A 25,701-nucleotide genomic window follows, 5' to 3' on the forward strand; every position below is an offset into this window, starting at 1 on the left:
CAGACATCAAGCTGCATGCTGGGAGAACCACTACTCTCTTCATATCTGTGGGACAGGGACATTTAAGTCTGCAGAGGTTATAGCTGTCTTTTGCTTGTCTGTGCCCTGCCCCCATAGGTGGAGCCTACAGAGTCAGGCCGGCCTCCTTGAGCTGTGGTGGGCTCCTCCCAGTTCGAGCTTCCCACTTTGTTTACCTACTCAAGCCTGAACAATGGAGGGCGCCCCTCCCCCAGCCTCACTGTCACCTTGCAGTTTGATCTCAGACTGATGTGCTAGCAATGAGCGAGGCTCCGTGGGCGTAGGACCCTCTGGGCCAGGTGCGGGATGTAATCTCCTGGTGTGTCGTTTGTGAAGCCCATTGGAAAAGTGCAGTATTAGGGTGGGAGTGACCCGATTTTCCAGGTGCCTTCTGTTACGCCTTTCTTTGACTAGGAAAGGGAATTCCCTGACCCCTTGCACTTCCCGGGTGAGATGATGCCTCGCCCGGCTCATGCACCATGCACTGCACCCACTGTCCTGCACCCACTGTCCAGCACTCCCCAGTGAGATGAGCCTGGTACCTCAGTTGGAAATGCAGAAATCATCTGTCTTCTGTGTCACTCACGCTGGGAGCTGTAGACTGGAGCTGTTCCTATTTGGCCATCTTGGCTCCACCTAGTCTTCTGTTTTCTAGATTTTTTAGTACACTTCTGTTTTCTAGATTAAGACATTCCTATGGAAAATTTTTCTCTCATTTTTTTTTTTAAGCACATAAGACATCCTTAAAAAAATCCTGTTTTTTTTAAAAGATTTTCTACTTATCTTTGTTTTTTTAGTGATAAGTGGTTTGAAAGTGAACTGCATTCATATAGTTTTCTTCACATTTCTTGTGCTTGAGGTTATTTGAGATTCTTAAAACTGTGGGTTTATTGTTTTCATCAATTTTGTATTTTTTTCCTACTATTATTTCTTCAATTTTCTGGGGTTTTTTAGCTTTTGTTTTGTTTTGCTTTGTTTATTCTCCTTTGGGTATTCCAATAACATGTAAGTTATGCTACTAAAAGTTGTTCTACAGCTCACTGATTTTTTTTTTAATGTGTACTTTCTTTCTGTGATTTACGCTGGTTGGTTTCTACTGTGTTCGCAGGGTTGGCCTGGTGTGACTCTGTGGCTTTCTTGAGACATTTGAATAGTACCAAATTTTATTTAAAAATTTTAACCAACACACTATGTTTACTCATGTTTGAAGGAAAGCTCTTGGCTGTTCCTCTTTTTTCTGCCTCACTCTTACCAATGTAGATGACAGAGCCTTGCAGACTCATCTAAGCCTTGTAAGACTCCATACCACGTTTAAAAAAATCATAACTGCTTTTTTGGTTACATATTATAGAGTCATTATTTAATTCTGAATCTAGCTTTAATTTTTTGTTTAAAGCAGGAAATATTTTTTGTTCCCACTTAATGCTATTGAGTAGGGATATTTGTGTTGATGCTTACTTGAGGACTAATAATTATAGTTGGCCATGAAGCAAAAATCACATATTTCTAAATTACCCTTTCAAAAGATTCATTAAGTTGCCTGTAAATCACAATGTAGACCAAAGTATTTATGCAGTACTTTAGAGACTCTCAATAACGACAAATATCCAGGTTTCTCTAGTAGAAAAGAACAGTTGAGTACCAAATAGTTTGCATTTTATCATCTAACGTTCTTCAAAAATAAGATTTTAAGCATGATAATTACACTCAGAGCAGTGAGATGTTCATACTCTGAGAGGCATTTAGGATGTGAAAGTGAGAAAACAAGATTTTGTGAACATAGTCTTGGGATTACTCACTGTGTGTCTTTCAGCCACTTCCCCTCTCCCTCTCCTTTCATCACTTTCTTCTCCTTGATTTTGAGTTGATTTCTGTATATTTATAATGGAATTTCCCAATGTCATATTGTCTCAACAGCACATTATGAAACAAGTACTTTTAAATTTACATTCAAACACAGAGAAGTAGAAGTTCTTCTTTGAAAGTAGGGGTTCTTCTTTGAATGAACCCTACATTGCCTTTGGGGGGTGGTCATTATGTATAATTTTTAAAAATTGCTAACATCTGAAGCTAAAATTCATTTTTTTGTATTAAGTCTAATACTTTTTTTAACTTAAGTGTAGATTTTTTTAAATGCTCCATAACGGTTTTATTTATACGATTTTTGTCACTGCAATTTGATTGCTTCATTCATTGCTTTCTTTGTAATACCATTTCTTTCAAATATCATGCTTTCATTGGTTTCATGAACAGATTTATACTTTAGAGTGTGAGCAAGGATGTTCTGTTAAATAAATGGGAAAATTAATCCTCCCGAATTTATATTGTCATGTGGAAGTGAAGAGTAGGTTTAATTTTGTAGCATTTCATCCAGCTTTGTCTCCATCCTTTGATACATGAACAAATTACATGAGTGAAGAACACCACTGTGTTTTCTTAAATAACTTTTCAACTTCAGTAAGTCATGCAAGGATCAAATGTGAGAGAAATAGAGAACCTCAGGATCAACTCAAGTACTTTTGGAAAAAGTACTGAAAAATGAGGTGGGGTAGTTTCAAAACTGACCTGCTCAGCATTGAAAGGATCTTGTTTCTTAAGGAAGCCATGGAGTTTTATCAGCTTAAAAATGAGTGGTTTGTAAAATGAAATTTTTTTTCTTTTAAACTTACTTTTGAAACTTCCATTCTTGTTCGTGGATTGTGGTTTGTTAGAACAGTGATTATTTAGTTTTTATGAGATGTTTCTTGTATTTTTATTTATTTTTTTTTAAGGCAGAGTCTTGCTCTGTCACCCAGGCTGGAGTACAGTGGCTCAATCTCAGTTCACTGCGACATCCACCTCCCAGGTTCAAGCGATTCTCCTGACTCAGCCTCCTGAGTAGCTGGGATTACAGGCACCTCCCACCACACCCAGCTAATTTTTGTATTTTTAGTAGAGATGAGGCTTCACCATGTTGGCCAGGCTTGTCTCAAACTCCTGACCTCAAGTGATCCACCCGCCTCAGCCTCCCAAAGTGCTAGGATTACAGGTGTGAGCCACCGTGCCCTGCCTGTTTCTTGTATTTGATGATGAAAATCTGTTATTAACAGGCACCGGGCCTGTTTCTTGTATTTTATCATGAAAATCTATTATTGACAGTAAGAGGATGGAGGCTCAGGTTAACAACAGGGTGTTAGAAAAGCAGCAGTAAAATTTTGATTCTCAAAACATTTGATGTCTTATTCCTTTTTTTGAACATAGGTTTTGCTAAAAAAGACCAGTCATTTTGAAACTTGATTTTACTGTCATGTTCTCATTTTGAAATTCATCTTATTGTTTGTACGAATTGGCAGACCTATGTGGGAAATGTCGGTTTTGCATATTTTCAGATTATTTTCATTTTTACATCAGAGATTTTGAACAGATGCTATACAAAAGTATTCATTTATTTATTCAACAAAATTTAGTGCTGGTTATGTTGCAAGCACTTAGTGAACTTCATGCTGTACGTGCCTGAGATACTTTCGTGAATGTAATGGCAACATCAAAAACTTTGCCCTTGTGCACCTTATAAACCTTTAATTTCAAGGCATGTTGATGAGTGGGCATCTGCTATAACATACTTTCATGGTCATTTAATTCACCATTATTTGGGTGTACCTTATATTAAAGCTGATTATTAAAAACTGGAAAATATTTAACACATCTTCATCTTGCCTTTTTCCTTAACATATGTAGATCAAGGGAGTCACTGAGAATCAATTTTAGGGATAGTTATAAAAATCTTAACTTTGCAACTATAACTTTGTCCTCAATGTAATAACTGGAAAAAATAATTTACATTTCAAAGGCTTTAATCTTTGTATTTTTTTGAAAAGGAGCCTTCACCGAGATTCTTTAAAAATTCTTGCTCTGTCCTATAGTAGAGACTGATAGACTCATGGATATTGTCCTCTAATGGATCTGTACCACCTCAGTTCTCTGATTGTCGCCCTCCCGTAGTGAAAATTAAAGCTTATTTTCATTTCATGTCTAGGATGTAGTATGTTCTTGTTGGGAAAAAAATGATGTTTCTTGAGAAATAAGTGCCTTCAGTATCACTGTGTGTCACTTAATAAATACGACAAATATCTACTTTTACCAATTGCTGCAATTTGATCCTTAAACAGCCGTCTTTAAATTGTACTTTTTCTTCGGTTAAAGAAAAGTAATTATAATAGACATTAATTATTTTTACATAATTTTATTATGTGGACAGCCATTCTTATAACTAAAACTTTCGGATGTTTATATTACAAGTACAATTATTATTTATTATTATTAATGTCAGTAGCCAAATGTAATCAACTCTCTTCCTTTTACTTCCTTTTTTGAATCAAAATATTACACTTATAGAAGCAAGAGCAACGGCTCTATATCTGGATCACTGCCGTGCCTAGAAGATACAACAGCACAATTTACAAATCCAAATTTCCAGGAAGTCTCTCCACATACCTCTAGTACAAAAGATGCTTCAGAGACTAGAGGGTCAGTGGGGAAAGAGAGAAAATATTCAACTCCTAGTTCAGGACAAAAGGGAAGAAAGCCGGCTGTTGAAAGAAATCCAAGAATGACTGTCGCAACTCGCTCCTTTCTGTAAAGTATTCATGGTGTTTTACTTAAAATATTTGCTCTTATGATGGTCAATAATATTAATAGTTATGCTTTGTAAAAGAATTTATTCTTTACTTATAATTAATGGATCATTCTAAGTTATTATATGTTTAGTTGCTATAGTAAGATGATGTGAAAGATTTGTTGCCTGTTAAATATTTCTGGGATCTTTGCTTTATTTTTATATTATGATTTGTGCTTCCAAAGTTGAGCTGTAATTTTATTGTTTATACAAATGTAGAATAAAGCTTAAGTTTGGGGAGAAAAATAAAAGCTAGAGTTTTCCTTTCAGCTATAGAACAGTCATTTATTTCTATAAATGCTTTTTTATGTAGCTTTCCTAGTTCCACATTTAAAAAGATAAATATGGGGATCTACACAGGTCTCAGTAAATAATATTTCTTGATTAATAATGCATTTAGTATAAAGCTTGAAGTTTAAAGTAGAATTTTGCTCAGCCTACATCTTTTATGGTCAGGCTGCTATAATTATGTAATACCCAGTTAAATTTCAATTTCAGATAAACAAGCAATAATATTTTAGTATAACCATGTCCCAAATATTACATGGGATATACTTACACTAAAAAAAGTATTTGTTTATCTGAAATTTCAAATTAACTGGGCATGCTATATTTTCTGTGGCAACCTGTTTTATAGAGAACAGTGTAAGTCAGCTAAATTTTAGAATACTTAACCCTAACATGGTGTTCTAGGTCTTTCCTTCTTGTAATTATTATTATTATTTGGAGTCAGGGTCGTGCTCCATCACCCAGGCTGGAGTGCAGTGGCACAATCACAATGCCCTGCAGCCTTGAGCTTCTGGGCTCAAGTGATTCTGGCACCTTTGCCTTTGCCTCCCAAGTAGCTAGTACCACAGGTACGTGGGCCCAGCTAATTTTATTTTTTTTTTCTCAGAGACAGGGTCTTAGACTGGTCTGGAAATCCTGGGCTCAAGCAATCCTCCCACCTCTGCCTTCACTTCCCAAATAGCTGAGACCACAGGCACAGGCCACCACCATACCCAGCTTATTTTTTATCAGGTTGGTGCAAGAGTAATTGCGGGGTTTGCCATTGAAAGTAACGGCAAAACCTGCAATTACTTTTTGTACCACCCTAATAATTTTTTGTGGAGACAGGGTCTTGCCCTGTTGTCTAGGCTGGTTTCCAACTCCTGGGCTCGAGTGACCCTCTTGCCTTGGCCTCTAAAAGTTCTGGGATTACAGACAGGAGCCACTGCACCAGGCTACTTTGTATAATTTTTAACATAAACATAAATATTTTGAGAAATAGATATGTTAAAACCATTGGAGGAAAATATATTGTAAAGTATACAATAGAAAAAAAAACAAAATACAACAAATACAACAAAAAATTATCAAAATTTTCAGAGGAACAAAACAAAATCTAGTTTTACAATCTTCAGAATTCAATCCCATTATAACAAATGTATAAAGAAACATATTCAAAGAAAAAGGCAATCAATAGAGACTGACCTCGAGATGACCCAGATGTTGGAATTAGTGTGGATTTTTAAAGTAGTTATTGTAATTCTTACTAAAATCAAAACCCCAAAAACCCTTAAAATAAATGGATAGGAAATCACAGCAGAGAAGAAGAAACTACAATAATAACAAAGGCTCAAGTGGAAATTCTAGAAGTGAGAACGTTTTCAAAATTAAAAAATAATAATCAGTTGTGTTCAGGAGCAGCTTGGAGGTGGTAAAGAGTCAATGAACCTTAAAATACAATTGAAATGATTCAATCTGAAAAATGTGAGCAGTCATAGGTTGGGGTGAGGGAGCTTTTCCTTTGGTTAGTGCTTTTAAGTAATCTTGGTTTTGATAAGATTACTAGACTGATCCGTCAGTGGCATGCTAAGCCAGAGTTTATCTTGGTTTCAGTAGTGCTTTAAACAAAACTCCTGATATCCTTGTGTACAAGATGGAAGAAGAGTGGACCAGATGACAATATTTAGATGAAGTCATTCTTAACCTCCGTTGTTCTCCCAGTGGTCTAGCTGCGGTTTGTATAAAGTGGAATGGGAGGAATAGGGAAGCAGTCCCCACCTACCCTCTCCCCTTGTCCACTTGTCCTCCTTCACTAGTGGATAAAGTCCACGGGAACAGGCAAGTTATTTTAAATCTGTATCTTCTGTTGTCAAGATCTGTAATCAGTTCTGCTCGCTGGACTGGGGACAGGAACCAAGGGAACATGAGGGTGAACGGGTTGGCATGGAGTCCAGGAACACACTGTGCCTACATGCAGAATGTTTGTGCCAGGAAAGCCAGTCGGCAGGCAGATGGTCTCAGATACCAAGCTAGTGTTGGGAAGCAAGAATCAGTCTCTTGAAGGTGGTGTTCCTCATTCTGTGGTTTCTATCACTTGCTTCAGAATGACCTGGAGTACTTATTAAAATGCAAATTTTGAGCCCAATCCTAGACCTCCTAAGCCTGAATCTCTACGGATGGGTCTCAGTAGTCAATATTGGAAACGTGCAGGTCCCTAGGAGATGCTTATGCATATAGATTTGAACTGTTGTGTTTAAGGGTTAGGGAGCTGGCAAAAGCAAGGAATAGACCAAGCCCTTGGGTGGGAAGACTCCATAACCTTGGCACTGTTAGCATTCTGGGTGGAACAGGATTCTGCCATATGCTTTGCAGCATCCCTAACCTCTACTCTCTAACACCGTATTCCAGTTGTGAAAACCAAAAATGTCCCCTGGGAGGCAAAATAGTCACCAGTTGGGAACTGGAACCACTGCTTTGTGGGATCAGAGTGGTTACTTTGTTCCCAATCCAAGGATCAGAACACAAGATGAGAGAAAGTCCAGCTATTGGAACTGGAGTGCCAAGTTGAAGCTAGATCTACAACAAAAGCTCCAAAAGCTCCTTTATAGGGCTGATTCCATGCCTCAGCTACCTAGCTTGTACAGATGCCATGTAACTCTAGATTTGGTGACAGAAGGAATTTAAAGGCTAGAACTAGATAGGGTCTTTCAGGTTAGGCCAGCACACAACGTGGACTTTTGACATCATCCAGATGCTTAAACCAATCTCACTCCTGAGGCAGAATTTCCCGTGGCATCTGATACACAGCCTGGCTTTGGAGCACTCACTGGGATTAGATGCCATGGGAATATTGTGTTTAGGAACTCTGAAAGAGACAGGCTTCAACAAAGCAGACCTAAGCAACACGTAGCGTCTGAACTTCTTTATCAGCTTCCATTCCAGGCCAGGAGGACAAAAGCATCACATACATATCCACTGTGGCAAATCTGTCCTCAGTAGGGAGTTTCCTCAGTACTACTCTCCCCTCTGTTCTGAGCCTACTTGCTCCTTTGTAATGTTTCCACTTTCTGATCCACTCCCTAATAGATGATTTGTCTTCTCTGCCCAGCCCCCTAGTTCTAATATTTGGATTGTCTGTGATCTGGGTAGTACTTAGGAGGTAGAATCAAAGCCTTGTTGATTGGATTGGGAGTTTCTAACTTCCTATTAAAGGCACTGATTAAGCATCTATTGTATAAAGTAAAGTAAGATTATGATCCAGTAAGAAAGTTTCCACAAGTAGCGCAGGAAGAATTGGTTTCTAGTGCACTTCATGCTTCAGGACAGGAAACCCAGAAAATAATTCTGTGGTACGTTAAGTGTGTACTGTAAGTTTCATTTCCATGTGAAAAACTGTAGTTAGCTAAAAAGTACATCCATGAAGAATCCTGATTAAACTTGTTTAATCCTGGTTAAACTAGCTACTAGCTAAACAATAATTTCACAACAACTCAAGAACTCTGTAAAAGCATTTCCTCCGAATATTTTATTCAGAAAAAAACACAAAAAGATAAGGCAGAAACAAAAATCCCAGTCATTTGCTGTATCTGTTGGCTTTCAATTTGGCCCTCTTGTTTAAACAAAGAAAAATAGTAAAATTAATCTATGTAAAACATACCATATATATTCAACTGCTACTAAATATAAAAAGCTTTAAAACTGTGTGTTCAATTTTGGTTACTGTATTACCACAACACTTATATTAAAATATGTATACTTTTAAATTTGGTTGCTATAAAAAATGGATTCTAATCCTATAAAAGTTATTTCCTAATATTCAATAAATGTTGCCTAAGGGCTTTTTCAATCCAAATAGCAATTTTAATTATTCCGGAATTTAAGGGTGCTCTAAATTTCCATTTAACAGGGTGAGAATGCTGTATTATTACAAGTGAGAAAAGTTACAGGACATGGAGCTTATTCCGTTTTAGAGTCCATATCCTGATTATATTTTATATCCTCTTCTTGATTTCTTACAACTAGATACATATTCATTTGCTCAGCTGGAAAAAATTTGTAACATTTACTGACTTTACGTATGAACTCTACCAGCTAGTTAACAGGAAATATGTAATTAAACATTGCCTTTATCAAGTAATGTAAAAAAAGGGTAAGAGTAACTTTGCAACATAGGACTTGAATGAGCGACTGGTGATGATCAAAATCTGGCACTTAATTGATTTATACTTGTACACTCACAGCTAAACGTCTCTACCTGTTTTTCTATGGTGTAAATCTAGGACATTACTTATCTACATAGGAAGAGTAATAAATATTAATAATGTGCTATGATAAACATCCTGCACTCTTCCAAATCTTACAATAAAACTGCTTCAATTTCACTTGTTTAGCTTTTATATTTAGTTTGTTAGTTGATATATGCTTATTTTAAAGAACCTGAACTACTCTAACAGAATCCACATAATTTTTATATTAGCCAAACTGCTTCTTTCTAACTCTGGTTCTAATAGTTATAAAAAGATAATGATAAATTTATGAAGTAGATACAGTCAAACCTGAATTTCTTAAAGTATATACTTAGAATTGGTTATAATTTTTAGATATTCTTTGTTGATGGTCTTTTCCCAAACTCATGATGTCCTCTCTAGGTAATATTGCCACACTCATAAATTATAAATAAAGACAAAAATGTGAAAACTACAGTAATTTAAGAGAATATAGGTTTTCTACATGCCATTTCTATTGGCTACTGAAAATAGTGAAAATAAGTAAATAAATAGCTACCTGTCCAGAAGCGTCTCATGCAAAAATCCATCTTTCTGAGCTTTTTTAAGAATTTTACTGTCTTCTTTACTTATTTTAAGTTTGTGGTCTTGGAAGCTCTGAAATTTCTTTCTGCAAAGAAAATGTCTTCATTGAAAAATACCTCAAACTCTGATTATACATATTTACTATTAAATTTATAAATACTGTTAATTTCTTTTTCACTTATTAAAAAAGTCTAATTGTAGGCCAGGTGCAGTGGCTCACACCTGTCATCCCAGCACTTTGGGAGGCCAAGGCAGGCAGATCACTCGAGGTCAGGAGTTCGAGAACAGCCTGGTCAACATGGTGAAACCCAGTCTCTACTAAAAATACAAAAATTAGCCGAGCGTAGTGGCGTGTGCCAATAGTCCCAGCTACTTGGGAGGCTGAGGCAGGGGAATCACATGAACCTGGGAGGCGGAGGTTGTGATGAGCCAAGATCGTGGCACTGCACTCCAGTCTGGGGGACAGAGCGAGACTCCGTCTTGGGGGAGAAAAAAAAAGTCTAATTGTATTTTTTTTAATAAGCTGAAGCATTTGAACAACAAAGATGACCCTCGTGACCTCTCAAGAGGAGGGCCACTCATTGACTGGGTAGCACAAGGCCCTACTTCTATTAGGGCATGCTGGCTGGAGTCCTCTGTGTCCTGGCCATAGCACAGCCTTTGACTGGCATCATGCCCATTCCATGAACGAATAGAGAGATTGACTAACCCCAGTGACTAGCTTTGGGAGCTGGTAGGATGATTAGGAAAACTGAACCCTCAAGAAAAGAAAAGCATTTAGCTCAGTGCTCTGTCCCAGAGGCTACATTGTGTTGCCTCTTTTGTCCATCAGTTTTCATTTTTTCAGACAGGGTCTTGCTCTGTCACTCAGGCTGGAATGCAGTGGTGATCAGAGCTCACTGCAGCCTTGAACTCCTGGGCTCAAACAATCCTCCTGTCTCAGCCTCCCGAGTAGCTGGGCCTACAGGCATGCACCACCATCCCCAGCTAATTAGGTGATTTATTTTGAAAGCACTTTGAGAAGCACTTCACTGTCAAATCTGTAGGTCTAAAAGGAAAAGCATACATACACATAATTGATTTCACATTGTTTTACATTTCCTTTGTCTTCTTCTTGAATGTCATCTTTTTTCGTGGTTTCTCTTTCAGCACAGGATCTAATCTAGATATTGGAAAAGAGAATCCAATGGGTTATATGTTTATCTTCCACCTTCCCCACTTTACGTATCACATAAGAATATTCGAGATGATTTCTTATGCAGAAGAAAAAATTAACTGAGCAACTATATTCAGAAAAAGACAGGTTCTGGCTATGTGTTTTTACTTCATATATATAATCTATATGAGTAAGTGTTATCACATGCTTCCTCTGCAGCCCTTGTGTCAGAAACACTACAGACAAAATTATTTCAGAAACATTTTACACATCAGATCCTGCTAGGCTATAAAGCAATCATTAATTTAATTTTGTCCTCCAAGTGAATACACTAGGATCAAATTATCCCTAGTAGACAAGTGTTCATTTGATCAGATTGAAAGCTTAATAGCTATTTTACATTGCACAGACTATTACCAAAGTATTAAAATTCTTAACATTACACAACTTGTTTTTAATTAATTGGAACCCACCTCTTTTACTAGCTTCTTATATCCTCCTAAGTTTGGATAGCTGTTTACTATCACATGTCATAAGTTAATTGATCTGCATTCAACAATTAGGATTGCCCACAGAACAGGCAATTGGCAATGGTAAGGACTCATGTCTCCTAAGGGATCTCTGTGGCCAGAGTCCAGTTCCAGGGCTGCTTAGACAGTGATGACAAATAACGTGTTTGTGCCAATGACATCTTTGTGACAGTTTTGATTAGAGGGGTCCCAGACCTGAAAACATTCCCTGCTAGGGCCTGTAGCACAATGCTACCTTTAGTAAGAGGGATGTGTGTTCTGGTAGACAAGGCAAGGTCATAAAGATGAAGGGCTGACAGAGATTAGGAGAGCTTGCAATTAAATGGTACGAAAAGTGTCCTAAATAATCACTGTTCAGAGCTTCCAAGTACTTGACTAACCAAAGAGACCCAGAAAACTTGGTATTTCATCTGAAAATTTCTTTAAATAGTGAAAAACGCAATCTTTGTGTAAGTATCTTTGTATCTTTGTATAAGTGCAAAGCACTGCACATATATTTGCAATTGTTGCCTTCAATAACACTTTTGTGATGATATCCAGATGAAAAATAATTTAAACATGATACAATAAAATATAAATAAGTAAAATTAAATGTAAGTCACAAACCCATCTGCATTTCCTCAATGACCTGTTTCCTGAGAAGCAATGTGCTATGAAATACTGAGAGTGGCCTCTGGAGTCAGCTGGGCCTGGGTACACATCCTGTCTTACCACACCTTGAAATCACTGTGATTTCCATGAACTGACTGACAAAAACCACGAGGATGTAAGGAGGGTCAGAGGCTGTCTTCCTGTCTGTAAGGCTGAGCTCATATCCACCTCACAGGATCATTATGGAAATTCAAGACTACAACTCATATGCCGGATGCATGCAACGAAAAAATATAACATTTCACTTCTCTAACTGTAATAAAATACCTACATTTTAGATTGAAATTGTTTGAGCTTTGGATTTGAAATTATCTGAAATCAAGACTATTCTAAGAAGAAAATCAAACATATGACCAGAAATCTAACATGAAGCACATACAGAGAATTGATAGATGCTTTTAAATTACACTGGTAGTAGAGAAAAATGTAACATAAATTTTTATGCTCTAATTATAAGAACGAAGGGCATTTTAGAAAAGGCATTTGCCCCCTCTCTTAGAGCCTTCCACTCTGGCCCCCACAATGCCTTACAGAGCAAATCTGGGTCAGACTGGATGCAACCTGTGATTCCCAACAGAGACAAACAAAGCAAGGTTCAGGATGCTCAGTACTGCGATGAAATGCCAAGACACAGAAAAGCCATGTGTCAAGAAGGTGGGAGTTATTCTTTAGACACATCCTGGTATATGTTTATCATTAAAGATCAGTGGCTTTTGTGAGTCTAAAAAATTAAGCCTTAAATGTTTTCATCAAATTCCAGTTAACTACCTGATTTATCTAGCTTATATTAACAATGTTATTTAGAATTTCACCTTGATATGAAGATGTCTGTGTAACTATTACAAAGATGTAAAACAAAGAGTAGGATTAGGGAGGGCACAGGCCACTGGTGCAATGGATAACACATCTGACTATGGATGAGGGAATTTAGCCTGGAATAAGGAACTTTTATTTCCAGCTTAGTGATGCACACAAATTTTCAAAATAAAATAAAAATCATGTTTTATGTGATTCATGTTTCTCCTAATGCAAAGGAGGACAGGTACTATTAATAAAAATATTTTTAAAATGTAAGGGCTAAGGCCCCAGAAGTTCTGCTATGATTTTTTATGTTTCATAGAGTGATTATCATCACAGAACCTCAAGCATTACGTAAATACAAATGCGTATACCCCAACCTGGTAATTCTGCTTCTGGAAATTTTTCTTCAGGTCCACCCGCACATCTGCAAATTGATGCATATTCAATGGTATGTATTGCAGCACTGTTTATAAGAGCAAAAGACTGGAAACAGCCTAAATTTCCATCTATAAAAGACTAAATAAATTAAGGTATAGCCCTAAACTGGAATATTATGTGGCTGTTAAAAAAAAGAGAGAGAGAGGAAAAGCAAGAAAAAGAGAAAATTTTCTACATTCAAACTAATAGTAGAAAACTCTCCAAGATACAATTTTAAGGAAAAAAAATCAAAGTCAAGAAGACTATAGAGGAGGCTGCCTTTAGTGTAAAACAGTTGAAAATTATAAATATATTCATATGTTTATAAAGAAATTTTAGGAGGCTATAAAAAAACAAAACAAAGGGAAAGAGGAACAGGAGCTGGGACACAGGTGAGTAAGGTGTATGGTAGGCATATGTCTTCATCTTCATATACTTTTATTTAAAAATGTTGGACCACGTGTACATGTTATCTATTTTAAAAATTAGATTTTAAAATACAAACAAGAAAACAAGAAAATGAAAGTTTAAAAAGAGCATGTGGAACTACCAGAAAAAGATACTAATCCATGGAGATAATGGCAAGGTAGCTCCTAGATGCACTGATTTCTCTACCACATTGTATAAACAAGCCATCAACTATGGGATTTGTAATTAAAAATGAGTCTACTTGAAGCACCACATTATAAAAACTATTAACTAAATCTTTAAAGTGACAGTAAATGATGACTTAACATTTTAAAGAGATACAGTCACATCGCATGTGTGAATGCAGTCATCTGTATAAAATGTCATCATTATCTTCATCATTTCTTCTTCTGCTGTTTTACTTTTTGCTTCTATGTCGCCTGCTTCATTGCATCTAATAAAGCAGCTATTTGAGGCCAACAAAGCCATTTTCCCCCAAGTGAAACAAAATAACAAAATAGCCATGAGGATACTTCTTGTAGAAGAAACATTAGGTGTTTAGACTGAATTAATTTTTCCTCCCTGATTTAAAAATCACAGAGAAGAACTTAGAGAAAAACCTGAAAAATATAATACAAGAACATATAGAAAAGGAAACCAAAATCACCTTTCATTTTACTATTCAAAGATTACCACAATAAACATTTGTAGCGTATCTTCCTAGTAGGACTAAATTCTAATTAGATGAGGTAGGATTGCTTCCTTTCTAAAAGATCTACTGAAGATAAAACTGATTTAGTTCTGTTTGAAAAATTAACTTTAAAGACAAGAACATAATTATGAATGCATACTTTATTCAAATATTAGCATTTTAAGTAAAATTTATTTTCTTCACAATTAGAAAACATGAAAAGGTATATACAATGCCTTTGGTGTTTTGAATTTAAGAATCAATGTTTGAGGGACTTTTGTGTGTGAAAATAAATATTCATATACATTTTTAGTTGTTTAATGTTTGATGTATTACACTGCTTTCTATTAAACAAAACTTTAAAAACTGATTTTCTTGTGTATCTAAATCTGGGTTGTAAATTTGTTTAGCTTAACTCCTGTAACAAATATAATATTTATTTATAACTTGTATTTGGTTGATTCTTTTGGAAAACTTGGAATACCATAACATTTAGACAAAATATTTATAAATACAATGATTACAAAATATGTTAACCTTATATCACATCCAGTTAAAAATGTGCTGATAACATGGATTTCTTAGTCAAGTCACAAGAGCTGGGTGGTCTCTCATCTGGATGGCTCCTGGTGAGCCCTGGAACATGGCGGTGTGGTCCAAGGTGATTTAAACCTGTGCCACAGATTATTCAGCTAAGTCCTTTTTGCAATACAGTTTTAAGACCGTCTTTCATTTAAATTTAAATTTTTGAAACTTAGTGTCCTTCCTAAAAATAAAATGAAATGAACTTTCCTAAAGTGTTGTATTATTAGTACTATCTAAGTCATCATCCTGGCCTTATGAAATATTGGCATTTTCTACTGGTGTAACTTTTATTAGAAGCATCTCATCATAACTAGTAGGATCATCTCAAAGGGGTTGCAACACATTAGCAGGTAATGAAATCAATGTAGTGTTTCCTGAACGGTATTGGATGGGTGGGGGGGGAAAGGAATACACACAGACACACAGAGGAAGGGGTAAAAGAGAATAAGAGATATCAAAGTGCATAACACATGGATAAGTAAGTATTGTTAAGTACAACTCTTGCTTCAGTTACACATATGTGTGTGCTGGGCTGCAATGTAAAAATGCATTTCTCAATGGATTGGGTCAAAATAGTTTTCAAGTCACTGACTTAAGATTTTATCCTAGGGGATGAGGAAATTAGTCTAAGTGATTACCTCTTTCTGGTGGGATGTTTGTTTAATCTGTCATCTTAGAAAACACTGCTGAGTTCCTACTTTCAGTTCATTAATGTATACTACCAAAGCTGCTACTCAAAGGCTGAGCTTATCTTCTATTTGCTTGTTCTGCGTGGTGCCCACTGGTCCTTACTGCTTTTGATATAGTTATCTACTTTTTAAAGACAGTTTAGCACTCACATATTTTTGTTCAATCTTTACTTCTCACACAAACAGAAAAAGGAAATTATGTATTCTGTATCAACAAAGATTTAACAAAACATCCATGTACTACAACTGTCTACTTACTAAAATCAAGAATTAGTATCTTTTTTCTTCTTATATTAAAACTGTCTTTTCATACGCTATTTTTAGCTTATGAACTGAAAGTCTTTTAGAGATAATTTACTTCAATGAACTATTATTATTTATATTTTATAAGCAAATTGTCACAACTTGGTCTTAGCTAGCTCCAACGTTCACTTACAGTCTGTAATGTTTCTGAAAGCATCCATGATTTCAGCTACAAAGAAGATACTTAGGAACTATTCTGTTTTCCCACTCTGTGATCTAAAATTGACTGGTTCTTCAATGGAAATGAGATCCATAACTAGGCACTAAGGGTATACAGAAATAATTGTGGGCAAAAGTACTAATGCTATTTTTGTTGCACTATATTTTGAGATCTCTTTAAGGCTCTATGTTCTTACTGATTTATTCCAATTTAATATGTTATACTATTGCATCCTACTTTTTCTTTTTAAATACATTATGATTGACTGTTACAGACTTTCTGTTAAACTGACAGGAAGTTTTTATAAACAATAACAGCACTTACATTTTGAAAGACTTGTTCCCATTGTTCTTTTGGTCCAATTGCATCTGAACACCCAACAACAAGTTCATCTGAATTTATACCAAGATATTTTCCATAGCCAGAATTCAGGGCGATTCTGTATATTAATAAGACACATAAAAGTTAAAAACTGAGAGAAAATTAATTATAGAACATCAAAACAGGACATGTGTATGTGTGTGGGTGTGTACATATGTAAAATTTCAGACTGGACATATTCCAAGTGTTCAAAAGATGCATGTGGCTGAGTGGTGACTCGCTCCTGTAATCTCTGTGCTTTGGGAAGGCAATGGGAGAATTGCTTGAGGCAAGAAGTTCAAGATCAGCCTTGACAACATAGTGAGAACCCATCTCTACAAAACATTTAAAAAGTTAGCTGGGCTTGGTGGTGTGCACATGTAATACCACCTACTTGGGGAGGCTGATGCAGGAGGAGTGCTTGAGCCCAGAAATTTGAGGTTATATTGAGCTATGATCACACCACTGCCCTCCAGCCTGGGTGACAGAGTGAGACCCTGTGCCTTAAAAAAAAAAAAAAAAAAAAAGCTACATATGACTAGTTGTTGCCATATTGGACAGTGTAGCTTTAAATTTAGTTTTATATTTTGCTTTTTTAATATAAACATTGTACCTTATATATTACATAACAAATATTTTCAAAATTCATCATTCTTCAATTATACCTCTTTAGTTATAAACTTCAATAATAAATTACTAAAACTTTATGTCATCAGTTTTCCAGAAAATACTGCTTCCATTTACATTCTTACCTCAAATTAACAGAGTATGTTTTGTATCATGGACTTTTTTTTTAAACATTATGACTCTAAAAAAATACTTGAAAACCTGATATGGAAAAAAACAGTATCCTATTACTTTGCATTTTAGTAGTTAACTAGAATAACAATTGTTTCTCTTTTCCTTTCCTTTTTAGTTTTTAGATTATCTGGTAATGTTCCTTGTCCATTTTTCTATTCAGATCTGATTGTTTGCAATTTTTTTACTGGGGTCTTCAGTGCTATGAACTCTATACAAGATACATATGAAGTGTAAGAACTCACTGCCTATTAAGATTGTTGCAAATATTTTCCTCATTTGTCAGTTAATTTTCTTTATAATCCTTTTTTGTTTATAATTGTAAAGCAGTTTAAAACTATTGAATTTTTTCTTCCTCTGCTTCTATTCTTTGTCTTTTACCCTACTTATCAGACTTCCAAAGAAAGTATAGAAATAATCATCTTAATGTGATTTTTTAAAATTATGATTTCTTTTACCTTACCAAGAATCTCCTCAGATGCCAGAATTGACTTTTAGTCCTTTATACGTTAATGATTATATAACAGAAATCATTATCATGTCAATGTAACCAATTACTAAAATATGCAAATTCACTTTCAGTATCTTTTACCCAAAGAATCATTCCATACTTCTGCACAAGGTGAGAATAAAAAAGGGTACTTTATAAAATGACTGTAAAAATACTGAGTAAAAATATTCTTTTGGTCGTTATGATGCTGTAACTTTCTCTGCTGGTTTCAACAATATTCCTTTTTTTAGTCTTCCTGTTTGTCTTTAGACTTCCAAACAGTGAGTTTAAATATCATAGCAACAGTGAACCAGGTTTTGTACTATTTATTTTTTAATCTATCTTATTTGGTGTGTGAAATTATTAGTCTTCATTTTTTAACTTACAAATCTTTTTACCAGCCTAGCATTATATATTGATAGGAAATCCACTAAAAGTAGATCACAAAATCTACTTTTCAAAAAAGCTATTTTGTTTTTTATATCAAAATTACCGTGGGCTTAAGACAGATACTAAAATTTTTAATGAATACAATTAAATTTTTAAAATAACTGGTTACTAATTATATTACAACTTAAGCTCACCTGGAATCAGATAATTTGACAGCCATAAACTGCTCTGTTGCACTAGGGCCCTCATCAACTATTGGAGAAAAAACATTTGAAAATAAATTTGACATTTGCTATAAATATAAAGACATTATTTTGCTTTAAAAAATGTGGTTATTTTCTTCTGCAATTAAATGTAAGAATATTCAGATATACTGATGTCACTGTAATACTGTTCTTTGGAATCAAGTTCTATTTTACCTTCTTTTAACTACAGTGCTAATTTTATACACTGAGTAAGACAGGGTGATATAATGCTTATTTAATAACTTTCAATATAGTTTCTCTTTATGTTTTAAAATACAGTCATAAATAAGCACTTATTTAAAAAAGCTAAATGCTTTCATTTATTCAATGGATGGCCTTGCTGACCAAATGATACTGCTTTTTATCTTCTAATTACTTTGTATCTCATTAGTGCTTCTTCTAATGAGCTAAAGAAAATTAGGAAGCTTCAAATTGTTAAATGCACCCAGGTTAGTTTTGGTAATAGGTCTGAATAAAACAGAAATTCAAACATATTTGACTCAAATAGGTTTTCTTTTTTCTTTCCACTTACTATTTTAATTATTCATATTGTTTTGATTTCCAAAGATACTCTTCTGGAACTATACGGAATGTTTTCAAATGCTTATATTAGAAAAAGGGACTTGCCAATTGCTGGTAAATATTAAGGAATTTAAAAAAAATGGAAGAGTCAAATGCAACGGTTCCATTCCTTTGGAAAACGTTTGAGACTAGTTAAGAGTTTGGCCTAAGTGAATGAATGTCCTAAAATCTACACTTGTGGCAGGATCTTCCCTTCCAGAGGCAAACCTTCACTGTGTGGAGCTCCCAGGGTAAAAAGACCACTGTCGAGTGCATGTATATAGGTTCCCTCATCCATTTCAAAGGCTATGGTTCCTGGAATTTCACCAAAGTTTGTTAATGTCCACCAGATTCCTAAAAAATAAAATTGATATTTCAACTTCATATTTTAGTTTTGACAGAGAGTTCTTTGTTATTATAACTTAGTTTAAAAAACTTTTTATTTTGCAGTCATAAGAAATAATACGAAGATCTCACATACCCTTTACTCACTGTCTCAATGATGACATCTTGCATAAGTATCATACATTGTTAGAATCAGGAAACTGACATTGATATAATCCATGAAGCTTATTCAGATTTCACCAGTTTTACATGTACTTGTTTGCATGTATGTGCACAGATTCATGTGACTACCAGCACAGTCAGGATTAGGTTTTTAAAATACAAAATAAGCAACATACAGCCAGGCATGAGGGTGAATGTCTGTAATCCCAGCTACTCGGGGAGCTGTGAAAGAGGATCACTTGAGCCCAGGAATTCAAGATTACAGTGAGCTATGATCACACCACTGCACTCTAGCCTGAGTGACAGAGCAAGGTCCTGTCTCAAAAAAAAGACCAAAACAAAACAAAAGGCAACATGTGAAGGTACAAATTGATATATGGAGAATGGCCTCTCTCATGATAGACCCCAGCCATCTATTCATGCCTGCTTTCCAGAGGCAATGCCTATCATAATGCTTCTTAAAATTGCCTCTACAGGAAGACTTTCTAGCATAGTAATTTTTTTTTTTTTTTCTTTTTGAGACGGAGTCTCACTCTGTCGCCCAGGCTGGAGTGCAGTGATGCGATCTTGGCTCACTGCGACCTCCGCCTCCTGGGTTCAAACAATTCTTTTCCTCAGCTTCCCGAGTAGCTGGGGTTACAAGAGCCTACCACCATGCCTGAATAATTTTTTTTTTTTTGTATTTTTAGTAGAAACGGGGTTTCACCACATTGGCCAGGCTGGCCTTGAACTCCTGACCTCGTGATCCACCCGCCTCTGCCTCCCAAAGTGCTGGGATTACAGGTGTGAACCACCGCACCCAGCCAGTAATCTTAACTGTGATTTTAGATTGAAAGCAAAATGAGCAGAATCTATGCCTATGTATACTAATTTCCAATTTGCCAATAGAAATGTTAGACTCTAGCAACAATTATTTTAGCAGTTTTTATAAAAGTTTCTATCTTAATGTTAAAAAATATCCTCAAACCTCCTCCTAAATTGTACTTTAACTAGAGTAGAAATGAGTCAATCATTAACTGGATATGACATATTAAGGAATTCTTGTTAATTTTACAAGGTCTGATAATGACACAGTATAATGTATAAAAGTAAAGAACAAAACATGTGATGAGAGAAAGACATACCACGTTAAGAAATGTATATTTACATACTTATGGGTAAAATGATGTAATATCTGTGATTTTACTTAAAATTTTCTAGGAAAAAATGTGTGTGGGGGTGTGTATGTAAATGAAACGAGCTTGGCAAAATATTGATAATTAATGCTGGGGCCTGGGCACATGGGGGACTTATTATATTGTATGGATTATATTGTATGGATTATATTGTATATTGTATGGATTTTATTGTATGGATTAGTTTGGATATTTCCATAATAAAAAGGTTTTAAGGATTCAGTTAATTCCACCGCACAAAATTTTCTATTCAACTAAACATTTCATCCTTTTCATTATCAATTTTAAAATACATAAAATTTTAGCTAAAATGAAGTTGGACCCTTATATAACACTAAATACAAAAAGTAACTTAAAATAGACCAAAGACCTAAATGTAAGAGCTAAAGTTAGAAAACTTTTAGGAGAAAATGGGAAAAGCTTCACAACAATGAATTTGGCAATGATTTCTTATATAGAACATCAAAGGCACAGGCAACAAAAGAAAACACGGACAAACTGGACTTCATCAGAATTAAAAACTTTTGTGCATCAAGAACCACTGTCAACAGAATAAAAGGCAACCCAGAGAATGGAGAAAATATTTGTAAACTACATACATGATACGGAATTAATATCCAGACTATATAGAGAACTCCAAAAAGATAAATACCACAATTCAAAACTGGGCAAAGGATATACACGGACACTGCTCCAAAGATGATATACAAATGGCCAATAAGCACTCGAAAAGACGCTCAACATCACTAATCACTAGGGAAATATAAATCAAAACCATAATGCAATACCACTTCACACCCATTAGAATGCTATTATCAAAACAAACAAAAAACAGAAACAAAGAAAACCAGAAAAACAAATGTTGGGCAGGATGTGGAGAAACTGAAACCCTGTGCAATGCTGGTGGGAAGGTAAAATGGTGCATGTATTTAAATGCCACTGAAGTGTACACGTAAAAATAGAAAAACTGGCAAATTCTATATTCTGTATATTTTACCTCCACACACACACAAAACCAATGGAGAAAAAGAAAATTAATCAAAATTAAAATTTCAGCTAAAGACGATTAGAAAGCAATAAAACTAATGACGATTTAGATGATTGAGTTATAGCTACAATTGTTTTCAGTAAAAGAAATAATGCTTTATTCAAAATCATTATGAACAGTGTTATGATTAGCAAGTCTTTCTTATAAATGTAATAGTTAATAATTTTAAATTAGTTTTATTTTGTATGTTCTATGCCACGTTCACCAAGTACACTTAATATTAAATAAAATAATTTAAATATAATAACTCATTAATGTTTTGCAAATGAAGAAGAAATTTCTGGGAGACAAGCTCCTCAAAATTTTCACCAATGAAATGTTTAGTTGAACAGAAAATTTTGTGCAGTGGAATTAACAGAATCCTTAAAACCTTTTATTATGGAAATATCCAAACTAATCCATACAATATAATCCATACAATATACAATCATACCGATCTTACACAGCTATTTCCAAAAACAGGGAAGGAGACAGCCCTTCCCATCTAATTTTATGACACCTAATATCACCTTGACACCAAAACCAAATAAAGACATTACAAGAAAAGGATACAAAAGTCCAATATCTCCCATCAACACCAATATAGAAATCTTAAAAAAAAAAAAAAAAAAGCTGTCCATCCAAAAACTACCATTAAGAAACTGAAAAGGTAAAACTCAGACTTGGAGAAAAGACTGATAACTCCATCGACTCTTGGCAACGATGTAACTGGAGAACTAATTCATTGTTGGTGGGAGAGTAAAATGGCACAACCACTTTAGAAAACTTTTGGCAGTTTCTTATATAGTTAAACATTCACCTATCCTTTGACACAGCAATTCCACATCTACATATCTACCCTAGATATTTACGCTAATTTTAGAATTATTGATTTGCCATTTCAAAAGTAATGATTCTTCCAGAACATTAGCTTTATACCATTCCATATTTTATATATTTTTTAAGCTACCATAAATTATGAAGATTCAAAATGCAATTTGCCAAGTTTTAAAAGAGAAAAAAAGTACGGAAACAACTAAGTGGAAAACAGGCTGGTTAAGTGTGTTTGGGTCAGTTTATTTCTAGTATCATTTACAGGCTACCCTGATATTGTATTTAAAATTTTCATTCATTTCAGAGTTCACAAAATGATGATTTTTCCTGTGAAGATACTTCGTTTAAGAGACAACTGACTTCTACAACTAAAATGTATACATGTTCAAAGAAAATAACTTGTAAAATATATTTGGTTGAATAACATTTACATTAAGCCTTTAAAATTATGTATCAGAATCTCTGGCTATTAAGCAGTCTAATGGTGCCTACTAAGTCAGAGAGTTGTAATTCTTCTCTCCTGTGCTCTGTTCTGATAATGAAGTAAAGGGATCAGTAGCATCTACTGTGCTAAAGAATAAATGGAATTTACAACTGTAGGTAATATTTAAGCACTTTAAGACAAATATGAATACATCATAAATTTCTAACTAGGAAAATATTTTCAATGAGATCTCAGGAAATGTTAACTTTTTTCAGAATAAAGCACTGAAAACTGACTCACCAACATATCAAACTGGGTTTCTTCATCTTCTTCTCTTTTTCTCTTCTTATCTTTCCTCGTTTTCTTCTTACTACAGGACATTATTTATACAGATGAGTTTAGGTATATTGATTTGTGTGATAAATAAATATCGTAAGATTGAAACTTGGAAGTCTTTTAAGCTGCTTCATTTATAAAGTATTGATTTAGGAAGACTTACATTGCTATGCCCTCTTAAATACAGTACTGAGAAGTTGCTTCAGGCTTTGTACATATTATGTTAAAGTTCAAAGCAGATTGTAGAGCCACACTGCCAGATTTTAAATCCTGATTCTGTCACTTCTTAGCTCTGTGATTTTTGGAAAAGGTACTGAATCTCTCTGGGAGTCAGTTTCCCCACTTAAAAAATTAAGATAATAACTCTTAAGGCTATTGTGAGGATTAAGAGGTAATATGTATCTTCACGCATTGCTGGTGGAAATGTAAAATGGTGCAACATCTACAGGAAATAGTTTGGGGTTCCTCAAAAAGTTAAAGACTTACCATATGACCCAGCAATTTTACTCCTAAGTATGTATACCCAAGGGAAATGAAAACATACACCCACAAAAATACTTACGTAAGACTATTCACACTAGCATTAGTCACAATAGTCAAAAAGGGGAAACAACCTAAATGTTCATCAACTGATGAATGGATGAACAAAATGTTACATCCATACAATGGAATACTACATAGCCATAAAAAGGAACAAGTGGTACAACAATGATGGACCTCAAGAATGTTATAAGTGAAAGAAGACTGATACAAAAGGTCACATGTTGCATGATTTCTTAGGAAATATTCAGAATAGGCAATTTCACATAGATAGCAGACTAGTGGTTGCCAAGGACTAGGAGAGAGGGAGGATGGGATGTGACTGCTTTAATGGGTAGGAAGAGATTTCCTTCTGAGATGACGAAAATGTTGAGCAACTAGACAGTGGTGAACCTCTTGAATATGTACTAAAAACCACTGACTGTACAAAAGGGTGAATTTCATAATTATGAATTACATCGCAATAAAAAAATAAAAACCCAGGAGCGATTTGAAAAAAGTTAATGTGCAAAGTGCCTACAACAATTTCTTGGCGCATTGAAAGTGCTATATAAGCATTAATTATGATTATTACGATAATCTTAAGACACTCTTGTCTCCATTTTCATCATAAAGTTTTCAGAAGATAACTCACCACTCCTCACAGGAAATTCACAGAGTAAAAATCTCACATTCATTCAGGATATACCTGCCATTTATTCTGGCATCTTCATGAGGCCAGACTCCTCGAGAGGGTTCTCAAGGGCAGTGGCTTCAGCTCACTCCTTGATACTTTCTTTCCATCTCGCCTAACAATATCAAAACCTCTGTTTATCACGGAGACCAGGAGGAAATGCTCAATATTTGTATGTACAGTCAACCTCAGGCAAATCTGCCAGTTAAAAAAGAAGCGGGGATATGAATGCACAGGTATTTTTCTCCTAAAGAGCTAATAAATTACCACTACGACCTCCTCCTCACATTTGGCTCAATTTATTTACTGCATATACGTTCTCTAATTTAATCCTCACAGTCTTCTAAAGGTATAAAAAATGGTCTGAAAGTATAAATGTGTAAACGGAGGTTTAAAGATACTTGATCTCTTAATGAGTAAATGGAAGTTCAGACATATTAACCAATTTGCCACAAATTACAAAATTAGTAAATGACGGAGTGCAGGTTCCAGCCCATATCCCTATCAAAGCCTATATACACCTCAACCACTGTGTGATTCATCCTGGTTTCACTCTACATACTAGCTTAGAAAAAAATAATCAATAATTTTTCCAGGAAGAGACAATGGAGAAAAGAATAATCCCTAGTAAAGGAAGTTATTATCATGAACTACAAGATCAGACAAACGCAGACCCACCAGGCAGAGGCCGGGAGAGATGCCTCAGCGGACCCAAACTCGTGGGTACGGGGCCACGGGTCACCCGCCCATCTATCCTGTTAACAGGGTCGTCCGCGCGGGAGGCTGCCCCTCTCTGCACAGGCGCCAGGAACCGCGGTCCAGCCTCCGTCCAGCCCAGACAGGGTCAGGGCGAAACCTGGGAGGCCGCGAAACCTGGGAGGCCACGAAGCCTGCTCTCCGCACCACGGCTTCCACCGGATTCGCGGGGGTGGAGTGCATCCGAAAAGAACTGAGGAGGCTCCCGCTGGAGCTGCAGGACCCAGCTCTTCGCCTTGGTTCCCTTGAGCACAAGCTTGGTAGACTTCACATAAGAGTACTAGGCCATGGCTCCGGGAGACTTCTGTGCGGAGAGGCTGAAGCCGGCTCAGGACGAGTGTGTGACCTGGAGCAGCACCAGGGCGGGGAGGAAAAGAAGTTGAGGCAAAGTAAACACTCCCTGACAGCGTAAGTCTGTCCAGAACCCGCCTTCGTCTTTACCCA

At 35.6% G+C, this 25,701-nt stretch overlaps 1 pseudogene across 1 annotated transcript, besides 1 other annotated feature; it reads right to left on the minus strand.

Moving 5' to 3' along the window:
* Nucleotides 1-25,701: part of a centromere (Linear centromere model derived predominantly from reads generated in PMID: 17803354. This region does not represent an actual centromere sequence, as long-range ordering of repeats and unmapped WGS contigs is not provided by the model. For details of model production, see http://arxiv.org/abs/1307.0035.) that runs on past both edges of the window.
* On the minus strand, nucleotides 4,246-25,701 carry FRG1EP (FSHD region gene 1 family member E, pseudogene; annotated as a pseudogene). Its single transcript, NR_146067.1, has 7 exons — nucleotides 25,180-25,701; nucleotides 23,253-23,322; nucleotides 19,214-19,339; nucleotides 16,466-16,580; nucleotides 10,821-10,912; nucleotides 9,725-9,835; nucleotides 4,246-7,057 (listed from the first exon to the last, which is right to left on the minus strand). The product of NR_146067.1 is annotated as an FSHD region gene 1 family member E, pseudogene (transcript).

This window comes from Homo sapiens, chromosome 20 (assembly GCF_000001405.40).
Source record: "Homo sapiens chromosome 20, GRCh38.p14 Primary Assembly".
NCBI lineage: Eukaryota > Metazoa > Chordata > Mammalia > Primates > Hominidae > Homo > Homo sapiens.